Source organism: Homo sapiens, chromosome 15 (assembly GCF_000001405.40).
Source record: "Homo sapiens chromosome 15, GRCh38.p14 Primary Assembly".
Taxonomy (NCBI): Eukaryota; Metazoa; Chordata; class Mammalia; order Primates; family Hominidae; genus Homo; species Homo sapiens.
The window spans coordinates 86,609,147-86,631,109 of record NC_000015.10 but is presented as its reverse complement, the minus strand read 5'-3'; the positions used below and the strand labels follow the sequence as shown (position 1 = coordinate 86,631,109).

Here is a 21,963-nt window from a genome sequence, read left to right as displayed (position 1 = left end):
ACACCTACCCTGGCTGGCAGACACCCCTGAAGATGGAGAAAGAGGCCTTCCAGGTACCAAGTAGCAGTTATGTCAGACTAGGACACTTCCTGTTTCCAGGAGGCTATAAAACCTCTGTCCTGTCCTCACCTAGGCTGACGCCATTTTAGGCCTCAGCCCACCTGCACTCAGGCGCTCGTTAAAATAGCACGTTGCTCCACACCTCCTCATGTTATCTGTTGGTGCGCTCTCCGGGTTTGAACAGATCCAAGAATCTGGTTCATTTGCTTTTACTTACCTCTACATTTTGAAAGGAAAAATTAAGGGGCTTTTAGCAATCCTGCTAATTTACCTATTATTTATTTACTTATTTGTGACTTTGGAAAAAAATAGCTATGTTGTCCTCTCGAGCTATCTGAGCAGAGCTCACTTTGTTCTTGTCACAGAAGACAGAAGGTTAAATTGAAGAAGCTGAAATGCACCTCTGGCTCAGGTGAGAGAAGGGAAAGGAATTAAGACAACTCAAAGAGTGGCTCATGGACCAGCAGCACCTGCATCCGTGAGAGCTTGTGGAGCCACAATCTGCTTTTTAACACAATGCCCAGGTGATTCTTTGCATAAGATTAATGTTTTGAGAAGCACAGCACTCTTGCATCTTAGCACTTATTGCCCTTAATTGCCCTCCCGTAAGTGTGGGAGTCAGCCTATGGAGTCTGTTTTGCACTCTGGCTCTCCATTCCATTATTAATGACAGAGCCATTCAGGTGTCCCTGTTGGTACAGTGACACAAGTGACCAACGCTGAGTTCCACAGAAACTATCATGGAACAGGCTGGTTCTTTTTGTCAGTGTTGGGGCCACCATCTCACCAACAGCCAAGAGGCGAGCAAGATTAGAATGTGAAGGATCTGGATTCATAATGCCTGAGGGATAGACACAAAACACAGTCATTAACCTTGTACACAAAGGAAGTTGGACAGACATGGCCACTTTGCCTCACCCTATGACTTGCATCCTGACCACATAGAAGGAAGATTCATATAAGGAGAAATTTTCATCCTCTTCAAAGCACCACATTGCAGAATTAAAGATGCTGAATTTAACAAGCAAATGGCAGCAATGTATCTGCAATTGCAATAAGCATCTGCTTTGGCTGCCATATCCTCTATTCTTATATTTATTAATGTAATGCTAATTAGTTCTACTAAGGAGAGTTATAACAGAAGGGTAATGACCAGAAGCCCCATACAAATTGTTCCTCTTCATCTGTTTTCTTCTTTCTCTTTTTTTCCTTTTAGCAATGAATTGATTAGGGCCTGAAATAAAGGAAATGCAATATCTGTCAACTCACTATAAATATGAACGGGAAATTCTGAGAGGGTTTTTTTTCCTGTTTCTTTGGCATTTGTTTCAATGCTGCCTAGATTTATTCAGAAATGAGCCAAGAAGCCAGTACTATAAAAATGACTAAATGCAAACATAAAAAATTAAACCTTTGTACCTTGGACGAAGCTGATGGTTATCTAGCTGCAACCTCATCTCCATTTTTATTGGAAGCAAATTACATACCTATGTATGATTCAAAGGGTGCGTTATTTTATTCTTATTCTGAATGTGTGGGGTTTGAGTGCTATAGTTAACTTTGTATAAGCAAGATGATAAAGCTTGCCTTTAGGCTTCGTATGTCCTGTTCACACAGACAAACTGACTGACCGATATGCAGATAATCATAAGACTCATGCCAGCTCTAAAATTAACTGCTATTCCACAGAGATCCATTAATTCAGAGTAAATCTTTTGCCCAGCAAACATGAATTTGCCATGCATCTTGGCATTTCTTAAATAAGCAAAATAAACACATTTTTTTCCTTCCTGTTACTTTCTCAAGCTCCAACCAATCTTTATCTTCTTAAAAATGTTTATTGGAATGTAAAAAAGTTGAACTCATAGAAACCAAGTAGAATGGTGGTTACCAGGAGCTGGAGGGTGGAGAAAATGGGAAGATGTTAGTCAGCTGTAAATGTTACAGCTATAAAATGAGTAAATTCTGGAGACCTAATGTACAGCATGGTGACCATAGCTAATAAGAAGCTATGGTATACTCGAAATTTGCTGAGACCAGATCTTAAGTGTTCTCATCAGATACACAAAAAAGTTAACGATGTAAGGTGACTGACATATTAATTAGCTTGATTGTGATGACTCTTTCCCAATGTATATCAAACATCTTGTTGTACACCTTTAATATACTGTATACATTTTATTTGTCAATTGTACCTCGGTAAAGCTGAAGACATTTAAAAATAAATCAAATTTCAAACAAAAAACTTTTTTTTTTGAGATGGAGTCTCACTGTCTCCCAGGCTGGAGTTCAGTGGTGCAATCTCTGCTCACTGCAAGCTCCGCCTCCCGGGTTCATGCCATTCTCCTGCCTCAGCCTCCCAAGTAGCTGGGACTACAGGCGCCCACCACCACGCCTGGCTAATTTTTTGTATTTTTAGTAGAGGTGGGGTTTCACCATGTTAGCCAGGGTGGTCTCGATCTCCTTGCCTCCTGATCCACCCACCTCGGCCTCCCAAAGGGCTGGGATTACAGGCATGAGCCACTGCGCCCAGCCAAAAATTTTTTTAAAGAAAAAAAATTAGTTCAATAAACATGTTTTAGACAAGTACTGAGATTTCATTCAACGCGCCTATCAGTGCTATGTTCTAGGTAAGACCCTCATCTTGCATATGAGAAAATAGGCAGAGAGAAATACCTCAAGGCAAAGAGCCAATAAGGAGTTGGGACTCAAACTATGTCTCCTAACTGAATATACAGGGATATTTTCACATGCCTAGGGGTTCTCAAAGCATGATCACTGAACCTGTGGCCTCCGCACCATCCAAGAACCTGTTTGAATGGAAATGCGGGGGCTTCACTTCAGACCTATTATTACAAATCGAAAACTCTAGGGGTGGGGCCCAGCAAGCTATGTAACAAACCCACAGGTGATTTTGATGCATGCTCAAGGTCTGGAAGGACTGCACTAGCCCAGAACTGCCTTCTCCCCAGAACTATTTGGAAAGACAGAGGACACCTGCAAGACTCAGAAGGCACTCCCTCTTAACACCTTTGTTTCCATGCCTACAGCTCTCCTAAACAGCCCCGTGTCTGTGTTTTCCTTTCTCCATTCAGGAAATATTCATTGAGCGCCTTTGATGGGCAGGACGCTGTGTTGGAGGCTACAAATACACAGGCACAGACAGAATTTCTCTATGTTCAGAGAAAATGGCAAAGATGTGAAAACAGCACTCATCACAGCATTTCCAAAGGCTTTGTCTCAATCCTTCTCAACCCCTGAGGTCCCTGCCACTACTGACCCTGCTGCTTTCTTCAAGGAACTCTCTCTTCCTTCCTAACTGTATACCCTGGTTGCTGGTTTCTCTTTTTCATTAGCTTTACTTTCTTTCTTTCACTGCATTACATAAATTCTTCCCAATGTTCCATTTGTATACTTCTTTTCTCTTTATGTATTTCCTCTTGTAAGCTTTTTGGAATTTGCCACTCATTATGATATTTCTGCTTATCCTAACAGCACCTTCGTTTTCCCACTGAGGCTTAAAAACTCCACCATCTGTTTGCCCTGTCTCTAATACTCCAGAACCTGTGTTTAATCAGAGGCCAAGTCTTCACATTTGTACCTTGGTATCTCTAACACCTCCTCATTCTCACCTCTGCCACCAGATTATTTTAAGGACTGTTTTACTAACCTCTCCTCTGGCATCCCATCTCCTGTTCCAGCATCCATGCCCAGACAATAGGCAAAAACTTCTTTATAAAAATTATATCAGGCAGGGCACAGTGGCTCACACCTGCAATCCCAGCACTTTGGGAGGCTGAGGTGGGCGAATCACCTGAGGTCGGGAGTTCGAGACTAGCCTGACCAACATGGAGAAACCCTGTCTCTACTAAAAATACAAAATTAGCTGGGGGTGGTGGCGCATGCCTGTAATCCCAGCTACTCAGGAGGCTGAGGCAGGAGAATCACTTGAACCCAGGAGGCGGAGGTTGCGGTGAGCCAAGATTGCGCCATTGCATTCCAGCCTGGGCAACAAGAGCAAAACTCCATCTAAAAAAAAAAAAAATTAGCTGGTCGTTGTGGCAGGCACCTGTAGTCCCAGCTACACTGGAGGCTGAGGCAGGAGAATTGCTTGAACCTGGGAGGCAGAGGTTGCAGTGAGCCAAGATTGTGCCACTGCACTCCAACCTGGGGGACAGAGTAAGACTTTGTCTCAAAAAAAAAAAAAAAAAAAGAAAAGTATATTACTCTTGTATTGGTTCTCCATTGTCCACCAATCTCAAAATTGTCTTTTAGGAAGGCTCTCCACAATATGATTTCAGAGGAACTTTTCCAATCCTATGTCCCCTACACACTTCAACAGAATAGTCTTCACTGTTCTCCAAATGTAACCCTTTCTTTTCTTAAAAAAAAACAAGTTTTAAGTTCAGGGGTATGCATGCAGGTTTGTTACATAGGTAAACTTGTGTCATGAAGGTTTGTTGTACAGATTATTTGTCACCCAGCTATTAAGCCTAGTACCCATTAGTTATTTTTCTTGCTCCTCTCCCTCCTCCCACCTTGCAGCCTCCAAAAAGCCCCAGTGTGTGCTGTTCCTCTCATGTGCTCTCACTATTTAGCTCCCACTTACTTAAAGTGAGAACGTGCTGTGTTTGGTTCTCTGTTACCGCATTAGTTTGCTAGGGATAATGACCTCCAGCTCCATCCATGTTCCTGCAAAGGACATGGTCTCGTTCTTTTTCACAGCTGCATGGTATTCCATGGTGTATATATACCACATTTTCTTTATCCAGTTTATCGTTGATGGGCATTTAGGTGGATTCCATGTCTTTGCTATTGTGAATAGTGCTGCAATGAACACACGTATGCATGTGTCTATATGATAGAATGATTTATATTCCTTTGGGTATATACTCAGTAATGGGATTGCTGGGTCGAACGGTATTTCTGTCTTTAGGACTTTGAGGAATTGCTACACTGTCTTCCACAATCAAATGCAACCCTTTTTTTCCTGACTTCTGTTCATGCATCTCTTTCTTCCAGCTAGCTCATCCTTTGTGTTATTACCTGTTGATACTCTACTATTCTTTATGACTCAATTGAAACTTTCTCCTTGGTGCCTTCCAAGTTCCACCAATGGGATACAGCTTCTTCATTCGATTCTTGATTGAATCCTGCAGTACTTTGCTTGTCTTTTTCCTGGCTTTTTCTTGCTTTTATTTGCATTCGGATATTGGCATGGCTGGATTCTCAGCTGCCTCTAGGGTTGCATGTCTTTTGCTGCCCTGAACAATAACTTTTTCAGGGGAGAAACTTAATAAATATTGGTTGAGTATTATTAAAATGTGTTTCTCTTCTGTTTATCCTTTACCTGCCATTCTTGACCCATTTTGCTACTACCATTTGATTCACAAATATCCCTTAGCTTCTATCCCAAAGATCCAGAATTTACTTTTTATGAGACTTATTCAAATATATTCTCTGTGTCTTTCATCTCATCATGTCTGAAACTCAGTTCCCAGGAGTCACAAAACATTTGTGTGTAGTTTGTAAATGAACACCCCAATTACAGTGGGATTAATCTGGACAGATCTGGATTAAAATGTCTCCTCTGTATTCTCTTTTGATTACCTTCTTTTAGTCTCACAGGCCCTCAGTTTCTGTGTTTGTAAAAAAAAAAAAAAACAAAAACAAAAAAAAAAAAACGCTAATTTCTTCTACCTTGGAGGCTGTCAGAGCCAAAAAAAGAGAAAGTAATTGAAATGTCTAACCAAATAAGACATGGCCAATCCTTCATTAATGTTCAGAAGTTGAAAGGATCCACCTTCATTTTACAGATTGGGAAACTGAGGCCCATCTCTGTGGATTCAGTGGCTGAAGGTCCCCAACTTGAAGGAGGCAGAGCCGACACTAAAATCATTGTCTCTTGACCCCCTGCCTGGTCCTTCTCCAAATAAATGATGCAGATCCTTCCAGGAACAAACCTGGTCGAATGACTGGAGGTCTATGAGGGAGCCGGTGCTGCGTGGGTGTGGGGCTGTCACCAGTCCTTCATCTCACTCACGGGCACTGCCAAAATGTCGATCCCCTCCGTTAGACCAAGAGCCACACAGAGCCTGGTAAGCAGCTCTGAAGGCATTCTGTCAGGCCCTGGCAGCCGTGACATTCTAGATGATTTTTGAGCAGCTGGGCTGACTCAGGGCTGACTCACTTGGCAATGTGGGCAGGAGAGGGAACGACAAGCTGCTGGTGTCTGACCTTTCAGACCTTGTCTCCCTCCTGAGTTTGTAGAGGAGTCCCTGGGGCAGTTGTGACACCCTGTGGCCAGGTCAGCTCATCACAGCACAGTGTCCCTTAATAAAGAGTGCACTGGGCATTTGCTGGGGAAGAAAGGGTGCTCTCCTGAGTTAGTGGATTATTCCTCCTTTTGGCTGCAGCTCAGGCTCACTGCTCCTCCACTGTCTAGCACCACTTCCAGCCTTAATTAAATTTATGTGCAGCCTTTTGGGCCTTAATTGAGAATACCTTCCAAGAAAGTAGATATGAAGAACTGAAAAAGTGAAGGCCACAGGAAATGACTCAGAATCGATATTGAACACTTCTGGAGGACAGAGGATATGTCTTCCATTCCACAGAGCCCTTACTCAAACCATGGCACTGTATACTGTAGGTGCTCAATAAATGTTACTGCATGTTGAATGTGTTCCATGCCCAATAGCTTGACCAAAAGGCTAATAAGTGTCACATGCTGTTGTATTACATTTGATCTATCAATATCAGCTAGACTCATACTTTTAACATTCAATTCACTTGCTCTTGATTGTGACTTCCCAATAATGAGAACTAGAATATTATTACCTTTCTAAGCCTGCCTAGAGAAGTTTAGAAGAATTTGACAGGCATGCTCTGACATAGGACAATTCATTATAGGACAATTAGATGATGCTATTCACACATGTGTGTGCTTCTTTGACTTTCCATGCTTTTGTTTAGCTTTTCTTCACTCAGTATCCCTTCCTCCCATTCCTCTCAATCTCTATTCTTTCTCTTATGGAAAGGCCCCTAGTTTTATTTTTTATGCTTGCTTTTATTCTTTGAGAAAATAGTTTTTAATGAAAGTATTTAGCACAGCAGTGTCAGACTAGAATGAGATTGCATCTAATTGTGCCTCTTCTAGGTGAACTGTGCAGCAAAGCCCACCAGAATTTAATTTCAGGTGAATAGACAGTAAAATCCACAGAAGTGTATGCACTGATTTAACAGGATTTGGAATTATTGTAAAATTATTTAGAAAATCACTGTCATGTCATTTGTGTTGGAGGAACAGGATTTCGAATTATTGCAAAATTATTTAGAAAAGCACTATCATGTCATTTGTGCTGGAGGAACTGACAGGGTGAAATGCATCTCTTGTCATATACTGGTTCCTAGAAGTATCTCAGAGTATTACTGTCTGCTTCTATCAGATAACAAAAATAAAATAAAGAGAGCAAGAACAAGCATCCAGAGCTGGTGACATTCCTGTGGTTGGAGGACAGTTTGGGTAGTGAACAAAGAGAATGGCAGTAGAGAGAACCTAGAGTTGGAAAACGAGGCAAAAGTTCTGCATATCCTAGACAGCTGTACCAGTGTCTGGAGAACCAGCCACAGTGGTCTCAATTCACACTGCAGACTGCCCTTCTGAATCACAGCTAGCAGTAGCTGTTGCCCTCAAACCCTGTGCTCTGCCAGCCACACTGGATCCCATCCAGCATTTATGATGGCCCCATCCCAACCCTGGCCAACCAGGCTCTACATGATTGAGCTCCTGCCTTCCTCCAAACCCGTCCCCATACCCCACTGCCTTACACACCCTGACTGTCCTGCTTTGCACTTGCGATTCCTTCTCTCTAGAACAGGGGTCCCCACCTGATACCGCTGCATGGCCTGTTAGGCAGGAGGTAAGTGGAGGGTGAGAGAGTGAAGCTTCATCTGTATTTACAGGCACCTCCCATCGCTTGCATTACTGCTGGAGCACTATCTCCCGTCAGATCAGTGGTGGCATTAGATTCTCATAGGCGTGCGAACCCTATTGTGAACTGTGCACTTGAGGGATCTAGGCTGCACTGCATGCTCCTTTTGAGAATCTAATGCTTGATGATCTGTCACTGTCTCTCATCACCTCCAGACGGGACTGTCTAGTTACAGGAAAATGAGTTCAGGGCTCCCACTGATTCTACATTATGGTGAGTTGTATAATTGTTTCATAATATATTACAATGTAATATTAATAAAAATAAAGTACACGGTAAACAGTGCCCTTGAATCATCCTGAAAGTATGCCCCACCCGTAGTCTGTGGAAAAATTGTCCTCTGTGAAACCAGTCCCTGGTGCCAAAATGGTTGAGGATTGCTGGTCTAGAACGTGTGTCCCCCAGTCCCTTGCATGGGATGACCCCTCACTTTATCCAGAACTTGCCTTAAATGTTACCTTCCCAAAGGTCATCATTTCTCCTGCCATTCAAAGTGCTCCATCTTTTCATCCTGTTTCATTTGTCTCTATTTTATTTACTATTACTTGAAATTATATTTCATAGTTTTGTGTTATTGTCGATTTTATATCTTTCCATGATGACTGGTCACTGGTCTCTTTTGGTCAGTGTTTAGTACTTAGTAGTTGCTCAGTAAATATTTATAGACTGAAAAAAATAGGCCTGTCTGGTTTTTGTGTGGACCCCCTACCCCCTTTTTTTTTTTTTTTGAGATGGAGTCTCAGTCTTGTCACCCAGGTTGGAGTGCAATGGTGCCATCTCAGCTCACTGCAACCTCCGCCTTCCTGGTTCAAGAGATTCTCCTGACTCAGCCTCCTGAGTAGCTGGGATTACAGGTGCCCAGCACCACGCTTAGCTAATTTTTTTGTATTTTTAGTAGAGACAACGTTTCACCATGTTGGCCAGGCTGGTCTCGAGCTCCTGACCTCAGGTGATCAGCCCGCCTCAGCCTCCCAAATTGCGAGTATTACAGGCATGAGCCACTACACCTGGCTGACCCCTTTCTTATCAAAGTTTTCATCTTTGTCTTGCAGATGAATTATTTAGAGGGAAGCTGGTTTCTAATTGCATATAGTGATGTAACGCTAGATCTCTAAAAATGTCCTACTCTGTAAAACAAGATTGTATTTGTTTTCTAAAAAGTCCTACCAAAGGAGTAATAGAAATTTTGGAAAAGGGAATTAATATTCATTGATCACTTACTATATGCCTGCCATGATGCTAGAGGCTTTCTAAACATTTTATGATTTATTTCTCTCAACAACCATTCTGGAAACTGAGTGTGAGAGAGAATAAATAACTTGACTAAGGCTATATCGCATTGAATAGTATCCTTCCAAACGATATCTCCAAGTCCTAAATCCCAGTTCCTGTAAATGTGAGCTGATTTGGACATAAGGTCTTTTCAGATGTAATTAAGGATCTCAAGATATACTGGATTTTAGTGAGTCTAAGATCCAATGACTATTATCCTTTCAAGAAGAGGAGAGACACAGAGACACACTGAGAAGATGGCCCTGTGAAGATGGAGGCAGAGATTGAAGTGTTGCAGCTACAAGGCGAGGAATGCCACAGATTGCTGGCAACTACCAGAAGCTAGGCAAGAAATGTGGAATGGGACTCCTGCCCTCCAGATCTGCGAGACAATAAATTTCTTTCAAGCCATCCTGTTTATAATAATTTGTTACAGTATCTTTATTTTACTAACACAAAATCTTGGGCTGGTAACGGCAGAGCAAGGACTTGAACCAGGATCTGTTGAATCCAAAGCCTGTACTCATTTCACTATCCCAGTTCACTTCCCTGAATTCTATAGCAGAGGAGTCATCCTTGATCAACATATTATAACAATTAAGGAAGATGTAAAAGCACAGCCCTATAACCAAATGAAATCTGCAAGCACAGTTGTTACCTTTGGTCATAGTATCACTTATATTCATGGCCAAAGTGCAAAGAAGACCTCACACAAAAGAAACTCTTAGCTGACTCCAAATAGAAAGGGTTGCAAATTCCAGGAAAGCGAGGAGAAGAGAGATGCAGAGGAACTTAGCAGCAATAGCTATGAGAGTAGAAAATAATAGAGAGATTTAACTGGAGGGAAAGAGCAGCCCCTCCCTTTGAAGAGAAATATTCAAAGCACGCAGGCGACTTGAAAAAGAGCCGTGAAGAGAGACATGCAGGCGGCAAGTCGGATTTAGACCAGTCATGCAATGCTATAGAAAAAAAAAAAGGAGCTAATATCATTTCAAAGTTCACTTTCAGAGGTGGAAAAATCACATAGCTGGCAGGTTGCAAAGTCCCTTTTTACGAGGCTCTAATGAGAAGATAGATTATTTCTGAGTCACTTCAAACCAGAAAGTAGAAATGCAGCAGGGCAAGGTAGGAAATTGATAAAAGGGTTAAACAAAAGTAATGCATGCAGAGGATAGATTGATTTCTGGGGACAGATTAAAAGCACTAAATATGTATTCTTGATGAGGTGATAATTAAGGTCACTGGGGAAGCCAAAGGAGCTGTCTGGGAGATGAGAGGTCAGCATGCAGACAAGTGTGGAATAGCATACAAAAATCTCACACAGGCAAGCAGGTAAGTGGGAGTGATGGGGTGCAATCCACAAAGGATCATTCACAAAGTCTCAGCGCAACCTCCTGACAGCGTGAAGTTTATTGCTTCTCTATGTAACTCAAATTTCAAATGACCTTTCGCTTTTCCACGAGTGAAGTCATTTCCTTTGAGGAAAGGTGCTATATAAATGTAAACATGTAAGTCTGAGGTGGACAGAGTGCTAGAAAATAAACACATCCCGGAATCCTCCTGCCCTGATCCTCCAGAGACAGACTGGATGTGACCTCATGGATCTTTCTTTTCATCTTCTACTTATGGGAATCGTACCTGACACCACCAATTTTGTGGACCCTTTCCACCTGGGGAAACTCACAAATAAGTGATATTACTGGAGACCACAGTGTTTTAATAAAAACACTCTGAGATCCGTCTTCACCCAGCATTTCTGGAAGAACAGTTATGTGGCTAACACTAGTGAGTCTGGAAAGCCCATCAGCAGGAAAGACTGGGTCCTGATAGCAGCAGTGTGACTTAGCTCTGTTATAGGAATATCCAGGAGTAGACTCTTGTAGAAATCAAGTTTGCCCACTCTCTCTGCGTGTGCATGTACATTTCAGTTCCTTTGAAGCTTAGCATATATTATTTAAGGTTCAATTCAAATGTTCCTTCTTCTGAGGCCTTCCCTAAATCCCAGGTCTGCAGTGAGCCCTCTCTGCCCCGGGTATTGTACCTCTATTTCACTGCTTGTCACAGTCTGAGTTGTCACTTACTGATCTCGTTCCTTTAATGGCCACTGTGGCCCAGGCGCTGGGAATCAGAGGCCAAAAGGATGAGTGCAATATTTTGCTTCTGTTCACCCCCACCGCACAGCCCATCTCATAGGACTGCACTGACCAGCAGCGTCTAATTACCTCTTAACAGGAAAGACACTAAGTGTGATTTTCTCCCAGCTGTGAATTAACTAAAAAGGTCACCCAAAAATGTGATTTTTCTCCCCAAGGAAAAGTGACATCAAAAGCTAATGAAATCTGAACTTTATCATTTCCCACTGAACTTTTCATTTTGTTTTAGGACATTAAAAGAGAGAAAGAAGCATGGAGAAAGGGAAGAAGTGGAAGTCAGGGGTAGATCTTAAAAGGCTCTTCCACATTAGTAAGTGATCTTTGACCTTAGGCCACACACCAAGTGTAGATGGGTCACTGGTAAATTAAAGGCATTGTAGGAGGTTCAGTGTCACGTCTATTAAAAAAGATATATTGAGTACTTATTATATGCTTGACGTTATAATTGATAATAAGTATCTCTCGGGCCTAGTATGGTGCCTCATTCATAGCAGGCACTTGATATATATATATTAGCTTTTAAATGAATGAGTGAATAAAGAGGTTTGAACCTCAGCACTCTGGCCACAGACCCCTGAGGGTCCTCATTACAGAAGGGCCTACGAAATTTTCTGAACTGAAAGTCATTTTTAAAAATCTTTTAGAACCTAAATGATCTCTAATGATAGTTACTGCCTACATTTTTTCTGCATTCTGAGAGGACAAGCAACTACAAAGTAGGAGCAGAACCTGTATCCCAAGAGAAGGAGTTAGCGCCAGAGGGTCCAGCAAAATAGGGATGTGCCTGAGACAGCAGGATCCACGGAGGGTCTGTAATGAGGAGGGCAAAACGGGCATCTTAGAAAAACTCCATGTCTTTACCAGAGATTTCAGTAGATCAGTCTATGATCCACTTTCCCATTTTCTGGTGCAGTAAGGATGGGAGTCTAGGATCAAATAAATCTGCATGTCTTACCACACTCTCTGGTTTAGCAGTTCTCAAATTTGAGATGCCTAAGAATTATTAGCACTATACATGTGACATAAATATTCATTTACATAGCACTAACAAAATTCCAGGCATTTGGAAAAGCTAATTAAATGCAGATTCCCTAGGCCTCATCCCTAAGGATTCTCATTCAGTAGGTCTGGAGCTAGAGCCCAGAGATCTATATTTTTAATAAAAGCCCCAAATGAGTCTGATGAGGGTGGCCCTGGGAGGAAACCTGGAGAAAGATATTTTAGCTCCGTTTGCTTTATCACCTTAATAGACCTGCTGGTGTCATCAGGAATGTAATGAGCCCCATCTAAAGTGGGGAGAGGTCTTTAAATCATCTTAGCCTCATCCTAATGGCTTGCAAATAAGTTGCCATAGCACCAAGAAGTTAGTAATTCTTAAACAAAATTGCAGTTGTTTAAAGGCAAGACTAGGCAGACATGGTTTTTGCCTCCTGTTTCTTTATTTAAATTATCTTCTCTGATATCAAACTTAGTAGCATCCTGCATAGTTTGGAATTAAAGAGTATTTCTGTTTGTTGGTTATAATTAGCCCCCTCTAATGAATATTCCATCAAGACTTCAGTTTCCAAGATATGCATGAGAAATGTTAAATCTCAGGCAGAAGTATAATATAGTGGGAAGCCCTGCTCAGTTTCTACCTTATAGAAATGTTATGATTAAATATTTTACCCATAGGAAGTCCTCAATTAATATTATTCCACTAATATTGCATAATCATTGACCCAATAGGAATAATATGTTTTGTTTTTGAAATGGCAAATCAACACTTTCGTATCAAACTTCTGTTATGAAGTACTTGCATTTTAAGAAAAAATCTCTTTCTCTCTCGCTCTGGCTGGCTGTGTGTGTGTGTGTGTGTGTGTGTGTGTGTGTGCGCATAAAGTTGAATCACACAGAATTGCCATTATTAACCATTTCTGATCTATGAAACAGCAATCTTATACTGTCTACCTAGTATATTATATACTTATGTCACAGCCCAAGAAATGAAAAAGCTTTTTAATTTAAAAATAAAAAATATACCTATGATCACAGTTTTGACAATACCATATTCTTACCAATTGAACGAAAATTTGACAATACCACTTGTAGCTCCAATTGTCAGAACTCATCATAAATTACAGAATATTTACATACATACAATTGATTAGTAGACAGGAGGAATTTCATGCTCAATTCTGTACTAGAGAGTTTTATATTTTTAATGTAAATCATTCTGACTTTAGTCAGAGGCATCATTTCTCCTACTGAATGGAAGAAAGCCAGTTTGGGCAGTTCTTTCCAATCTCATGTGTCTAGTCCTTACAGCAGAAGAAAACAGTGACTCTGAAAGGTCACAGGAATATTATTGTTGGCTATCGACTCTGAAATCCAAACAGCCGTCAGATTGCAGAAAACATCAATTCTGTCGAATGACACTAGTCCAAATTCCTGTCAAAGGGTCAATAAATTGTGTAAAAGCAGGACCCTTTATAGAATGCAATTAGAAATCACAGATCAAAGGGGAAGTCAGGCCAAAGGTACTTTGCTAAGGCTAAGAAGGGACTTGAGGAATAGATTTTTACATGTGAGCAGAGAGTGAAGGTTAAAGGAGGCAAGATAACATTTAAACTGGAAATGGGATCATAATGTTTGTGATGGTAAAGGATTACAACACAAATCCTGCCCTACCAGCAAGCAATCGCTCCTGGTGACAGAAGAAGCAGAAGAGATAGATGAAGTAGCAAAAGTCCCTTTTCACAATACTTACTGTGAGCTAAAGACATAGGACTAGCCCTTTCAGTTTCTTTCCTTTTCTTCTTTTTGAGTCAACTTTATTGAAGTATAATTTACAAAAGGAGGAGGAAATTGAGGGGTAGAGATGGACAAGCGAAGTATATGTCTGAAATGTGACAAAGTGACAGGTGACTGGTAACAATTCATTAATCAACCAAATATTTTGTCTGAGTGAAGCCAAGTATAACAATATTTCCAAATCTATGACTCTATAGAAACATCAAGTGACTCAACATTATGTAGGCATAGGATAAAGCTGTGCCAGGGTCAACAGCAAGTTAAATCAATAACAAAATCAGACAAGAGGTGTCTAGTTCTATATTTACCCATTGATCAGGCATTTTGAAGACAGTGTCCTCTACTTGCTCATTCTTTTCTCCTTTCCCATTTTATCACCCTGCCCACTGCAATTTGTACAGTCCAACCTCTATAGTAACATCATACAATGACCACCAATCTAATCCAACGACAAGTTTTCCATCTTCATTTTTTTTTTTTTTTTTTTTTTTTTTTTTTTTTGAAGTGGAGGAGTCTTGCTCTGTCACCCAGGCTGGAGTGCAGTGGTGCTATCTCGGCTCATTGCTACCTCTGCCTCCCGGGTTCAAGCGATTCTCCTGCCTCAGCCTCCTGAGTAGCTGAGATTACAGGTGCCTGCCTCAATGCCCAGCTAATTTCTGTACTTTTAGTAGAGACGGAATTTCACCATGTTGGCCAGGCTGGTCTCAAACTCCTGACTTCAGGTGATCCACTTGCCTCAGCCTCCCAAAGCGCTGGGATTACAGGGGTGAGCCAATACTCCTGGCCCATCTTCATTTTATTGTATTGTGACAATTGCTATCCTAATCAGCTTAATCTCCCTGCCCCAACCTCCTGAAACTCTTTTCTTCTGTGGTTTACCTTCCACTTCCGTGGGAGTATTTTTTTTTTATTTCCTGTTGACATCTTTTCTTATATTGATGCCCCCTATCAATGTATGTATAACCCCAACACTGTCATCCCTATTAATTAATTTTTCATTTTACAACAGTCTTTCCCTGAGTTTCCATCTGCTTCCAGAACTTTTATATATGTTGTTGACTTTTAAATCTATTTTTTAACCTCTGTCCACAATATAAAACTCACATTTCTAACTCTGTGGCTTTGAGTAGTTTTGAATCTTCTTAACATGTCAATCAATGTCTTTGCACCCATGCCAGCTGTCCAGAGGTGAACCGGAGCCTCAGTGCTCTGTTACACTCAGATTAGATTGCCTCAAAGTCCATGGAAGGTTTATTGCCTTCTCCACTGTGCCATCTCCACCGGGATGGCGTGTGGCCTTCTCAGGTTCAGCATAGCACAAGGAATATTTTTCATTTCCTCTACATCTGTTCCTGCAATTTGTGTTGCCTATTTTAGTTAAAGCCACAGTAACCATCAAATAATCTCATAATCATCTTACCTTCTTCCTCCTTACCCCAGATCCCACTGGACACCACCTGCATCAAACCTACTCCTGAAGAGCTCTCAGATGTGTTCCCATATCCCATTCCTCCACTCTAGTCTTTACCACAGTCCCTCATCACATCTTTTCCTAGGCTGGTTTTTAGTCAATAGTCTGTTTTTAGTCTCCCTGGCCCTCTACTCTACTTCCAATGCTAGAATTAATCTCCCGCATTGCTGGCAGAGGCATCTGGAAGGCAAATCTGCTAGAATTACTCTCATTTTTAGATTTCTTCAGTGACTCTCCATCACCCTCAACATGCTGCTTAATGTGTCACTCAAGACATTTGACATTCTAGTCCTAACCTTTTCTAAAGGCCCATCCTTTTGGTATCCTAATTACTTTATCCAAATTGCCCTGCCATGAACTCTCACCATTCTAGTTTTCTTTGCTCATCTTAGAACAACTTTGCTCATTCTCTATAAACTACCTTCACTGCCTGGTCAACTCCACACCCAGTTTGGTTGTCACCTTCAGAAAGAAGCCTCCAATAGGCCATAAAGTTACTGTTAATTGTCTCTTCTCTTTGTCTACACAACACTTTCTTCTTACGATCAGTAGATTATATGACAATCTGGTTTTTTCCACTTCATTCCTTCATTAAGTAAATGAAAAAATATCTTTTGAGCACTTACTTGGAGTTGACACTGTTCTAAATAACACTGTTCTAGGGACCAACTGTGTGATGGAAGCTGCTCAGGCCAGCTCACAAGAGTCAATTGTGCACATTTTTCCTAACATCACATTCAGTGATGTAGTAACAGTAGCTTCAAACTGGCCATGACAGGAATATTTACACCAGAGGGATTGGCAAACACTACAAATCAAAGCTCATTTCAAACCTGTTTTATCAGTATTCCATCAGGGTACCACCATACCTAAATCTTCTTACTAATGAAACATGTAATTCTAGTGAAAGAAAAGCAGACCACACAAATGCTAAATAAGAAAATAATTTATAAAAGTGCTTGAAGGTGCTAAATACTAAGAAAACAATAGAACAAGGTGGAGTATTCCAGGTATTGGGTATTCATGTGAACAGCAATATTATCAAGAATTAAGAAAAGAGCAGGGCTGGAAGAAAGTGACAATAAGGATGAGCTAAATTCATCCAGAAATTAAGGCAAGAGCCCCAGGGTCAGTAAATGATTTCAACCATTAGGGGCAGAGTATAACAGTTTAATACATAGAGCTCGATGCATATATTATTCATTTTGTTTTATTCCCAGTGCCTGGCAGAGTGTAATAGATGCTTACAGTTAAAACAGATAGAATCTTCTATTATCCAGAGCCAGCTAACTAGTTCTGGGTTGCACATTCTTCTGTTCTTAGGATTTATTTTTATTAAAACCAACAACTCAGCGGGATAAGTTTCTTCCCTTACCGTACAAAGTTTGCAGCAGCACATTACCCCACCTCCCTTAGGAGATGGAAAGGAATCCACCTATCCATTAATTATTTGAACTACTTTGAATAACATCCCTAGAGATTGGTCTTTTCACTCAGGACTTCTCAAACATTAACATGCATATAGATCACTCAAGAATCTTACTATGCTACATATTCTAATTCAGTAGGTCTGGGATGGGGTCTGAAATTCTGCATTTCTAACAAGCTCCCTGGTGATGGAGATGATGCTGTTCTGAAGATCCTACTTGGAGTAGCAGAGCTTGGGCTTTAACCAACATTTGTTTTCATCCCTCAATAGAAAATGCCCTCTTTCTGGGAAACGTCATGCCTTCTTTAGGTAGCTGGTAAGTACTCGTGACTTACTTTCTGTGATCTGAAATCTGGCTCAGGTAATTTCCTACTTTACAATTCCTAGTTCTAGCTCTTATAAACACACTGAATAATCCTAATCTCTCTTTCACATGGCAGCCTTTAAGTACTTCACAGCAAGCCTTCTCTGTCTGAGCTAAATGCCCACAGCTCCTCCTGCCACTCATCTGGCTAAGCAGCTTTGAACATGCCAGACACTGTCTTCTCACCCACTAACTGTCCACGCACCAACCGGTGTCCTACTGCCCCATTAGATCCAGCTAAAGTCACCTACAAGTTCATGGGACCTCGACTGCCTTCACCATGCTGCAGTTCTCCAATGGTTTGGGATCTTACGTTCCAAAACCAACAAACCTCTCGCTCCGATTCCTGCTTTAATTTGTTTTCTTCTTTAAGGTACCTGTAAACCAAAAAGTATCTGAGACAAGTCTTAATCAATTTAGAGATTTATTTTGCCACGGTTAAGAACCATGGCCTGTAACACAGCCTCAGGTGGTCCTGAGAACATGTGCCCAAAGTGATTGTGTTACATCTTGGCTTTATACATTTTAGGGAGACAAAAGTTACAGACAAAGACATGAATCATTATATGTAAGGTATACATTGGTTTGGCCTGGAAAGGCAAGACATCTTGAAGCAGGGAAGCTTCCAGATCATAGGTGGAGTCAAAGATTTCCTGATTGTCAATTGGTCGAAAGAATTGAAATCAGCTTGAGTTAAGGTCAGTTAAGGGGAGAGGGATATTGCAGAAGCCAAGGTTCTTGTCATGTAGATAAAGCCTTCAGGCCAGCCGGCTTCAGAGAGAATGGATGGTAAAATTCTCTTATTGAAACTTAAAAGGTGTCAGACACTCTGGAAAAGACCTAGTAAGAAAGAAGGTTCTCTACCGAGTGCAAATTTTCCCCACAAGAGACAGCTTTGCAGGGCCATTTCAAAATACGTCAAAGAAATATATTTGGGTGTAAAATACTTTCATTTCCTTCAGGGCCTGCTGTCCTGTGATGCTGTACGAGAGTCAGGTTGGAATTCGGTATTTTCTTGCTATAATGAGTCTGTTTTGTCAGTCTTAAGATCTCTGTTTTAATGCCGGTCACTGTTGTCTAAACTCCGAAGGGAGGAGGGTGTGATGAGGCATGTCAGACCCCCATCCTTCCCCTCCCCCGACCCCATCATGGCCTGAACTAGTTCTTCAGGTTTTTTTGGAATCCCCTTGGCCAAGGCAGGGCCCATTCAGCCTAAGTTTATTCAGGAGCTTAGAATTTTATTTTTTGTTAATATGCCTTTAGCTCAAAATTATCCTTAGGCAAAAGTGGCTAGCATATTTTGGGGTGGCATATTGTGCTACCCTTCAGGGGCTTCTATTTGCATATTCAAAGACTCATGGAGGTGATGCATCCTGCTGCTGGTCAAAGGCAGATCTCTTAGGGTCTCATCCTTCCTCTTCCCCCTACAATCTCCCAAAAAGTGAAGAGCACTATGGAGGTTTTATCTCCAGCTGAGGGTGATGGTTCTCTCTTTCCCTCACAATTACTAAGTAGAGAAGCTAGAGTCTGATTTGGGTTGGAAATTTGGGGTTTATTTGTTAAATTCCTTTGAACTGGGCTCAAAACAAAAGGCAATACTCCAGGTGTGTTCTGACCTCTACTGAGCAGAACACTCACAGCCTGCCCCCATTTTAAATACCAGCCACTTGTGCATGCAGGGTAAGATCAAATTAACTTTCTTGGCAGTCTTGTGGTTCTGTTGACTCACCCTGAGTTTACAGTAAACTTCCGCCTCTGAGGTTTTTTCATGTAGCTGCTGCTTTCACAGTATCTTACAAATAGGCTTGTTCTTCTAATATGAACCTCTTCTCTGGCCTCTGTTGCCTGTGAGTATCATGCTTTAAAAAATCCCACAGAAATGTACGTTGTCTTTCTGATTAGATTACCAAGGGGGAAAAAATACCTTGACAGAAAAGGCTGCAATAAATCAGCAAAGATTTCCACATCCTGTTGTAAATTGCAACAGGATGCAATTCACCTTGTAGGATCTGACATTAACTCTTTCTTCCTGGGATTGGTGAATATTCCTCCCTCTAAGTCTTTCTCCTGATTTGGGGTTGAGTTCAAATTCTAGGCCCCAGAAAAACTGAATGACTCTGCAGACAAAAACATTAAAGGGATGTTTCACATCATCTATATTGAAAAATTCTCAAAATTAAATTTGATTTCCTCCTGGTTTGGTGTTATGGATCACCAGTGGTTGGGGTGTCTGCTAATTTAAGATGGCTGCACATCGCAAATATGCAAATATATTGGTGACACTCTTTAGACAATAAAAAGTTGCTGAATTTAAAGTGTCACAGAAGTTCCTCTAAAACATTGATTTTTATTTTGTTGCTCTTTCTTTGTTCATCCACACACCCTGAGCATACCTATATCATATAGTTTATCATAAACTAATAATTTAATGCAGTGCCCATTATCAAATTGCAAGCTACCAAGAGCAGATACAAGATACAAGTCCTGTTCAATTTTGCAGTCTAGTTTAGTCACAATTTCAATCTTGACCTCACATCAGGATCATCTGGAGGTCTTGTTAAGACACAGATTCCCAGATCCCACTCCTGAGTTTCTGATTCAGCAGGTCTGAAGTGGATCTGAGAATTTTCACTTTTAACATTTCCCAGGTGACAATGAAGCTGCAAGTTCAGGGAGCAGACTTTGAGAACCACTGATCCAGAGCACAGGACAGTGTGAATATCACGACCTCTACAAATACTTTATGAAAGACAAAAGGCAAGAAAGTGGTGGGAAACACAGAAGGAAAAAAAAATACGTGATTAGGGAAGCAAAACATGTGATTAGGGAAGCGAAGTTAAGTACTGATTTTGGACCTACCTTGGAACGTCTCAACAAAGTATGAAGCAGAGTTTTTGCATTCAAAGTCTAAATCAGAAACATTCCTTTTATTCTTCCCCATAGATTTGCGGGAAATAATTTGGATTTGGTTGTTTCCCATTTTAAACTCTAAACTGTATTATCTAGTTAGTCTAGGGAACTCCTTTGTTTATCTGTTTCTCCCTGGGGCAGAACAGTGAGCAGCCCCAGGCTGACTTTTTTAGCTGTCGCCCAAAGTACATTCCACATTCACATCCAAGAAAGTGTCTCTTCACAACTAAGGGCCCCAGGTAAGCATTTCAAATCCATCATCACATGCTAAAAATTTTAATTTTTCTTGAAGTATTTGATGTTGCTTAATCTTAAACTTTTGTTTACTATTATGTGGACCAAAGAACCACTGGGTTGACTAAGTTTTTCTCTTTCTCAGTCTGCTGTGTTGGAGGTTTGGCATTAACCCAACAGTATGGTGGTAGTGACATTCAACTATCCACATATATCACAACCACAGTGCTGTCATGTCAAAAGAGACGAAATGACTATCTTCCATTGAATGTATTATGCTACAGAAAGAGGAGATCACCTTTTTAAACCGGTAGTCAAATTAAATCCCTAATAGAAAACAATGTTTTTGCCCCTAAGAGACATTAAAAGTTTGATGTTCCATTGGTGGAGATGGGGGGGACATGTAGTCTTTTTGGATGCATAGCTCTGCTACTTATTTGATCTGTGAACTTGCACAAGTGGTGTGTTCACAGAAGCATGGCCTCATCCATAAAATGGGCACAATTAAAGTTAAGATAAAAATTTGAGATAGGGTCTGTTAAACAGAACACAAAACCCCAGCATATGGTTGGCATTTAATAAGTAGTCGAGGGAAATCTGGATGAATTGTTATGAGTACCTGGGTTGTTTTGCTTTGCTTTGTTTTTCCTACAAGAGTATGTCGTTTACAAATCTTTTTCCCCCCTAACTTTTTGAGAAAGCATGCATTGTTCACCTGGCTATTGTAACAATTCTCACATGACCTCTGTTTGTTATGCCAAGTTATTTGTTAGAATAAATGGATTTTTTAACAAGAAGTTTTCACGAGAATGAGGTGTTTGGGGGAGACAATGCAATGTGTCCTATGATTGAGTTCTATAACCTGGATCGACTAAAACGGTATTAAACCCAAGAATAGGTCAACACAAATTAACTCCTAGAACTACACATACCCTACCCCACAGGTGCCAATACTCCCTACCACAGCTACTGATATAGAAAGCAGTAAATGAAGTGTGCATCAGCCCAGGCACCAGACTTCTCTGCCCTCAGCTGTGATTCTCAGCTTTGGTATCTGAAACATCATTTGATGGCTGGTGACCTTTGAGTCTCAGCAACCTAGCAACTTCTGCTTCCTAGGATTTCTGGTCTGAATTCCTCCTCCTTTCTGATTTTCTTGTGTGTGTTCTCTTTCCATCTCTTCCTACTTTGCAGAGCCTGAGATCTAGTACTCCTCAAGAGGAAGGCTGGTTTCCTCAATCTTTATCCATATACAGGCAGTAACACCTTCAAGGATGTATCTCTCT

At 41.0% G+C, this 21,963-nt stretch overlaps 1 protein-coding gene across 5 annotated transcripts in view, besides 1 other annotated feature; it reads right to left on the bottom strand.

The window, feature by feature from the left end:
* AGBL1 (AGBL carboxypeptidase 1) overlaps window positions 1-21,963 on the bottom strand; it is a 951,857-nt gene that overhangs the window by 400,367 nt on the left and 529,527 nt on the right. The window lies entirely within an intron of this gene.
* Window positions 18,839-19,340: an enhancer, noted in NCBI's record as "NANOG hESC enhancer chr15:87155001-87155502 (GRCh37/hg19 assembly coordinates)". NCBI's record gives its function as "activates a minimal SCP1, AML or CMV promoter by ChIP-STARR-seq in primed H9 embryonic stem cells {active_cell/tissue: H9 hESC(primed)}" and the evidence as "EXISTENCE:reporter gene assay evidence [ECO:0000049][PMID:30033119]".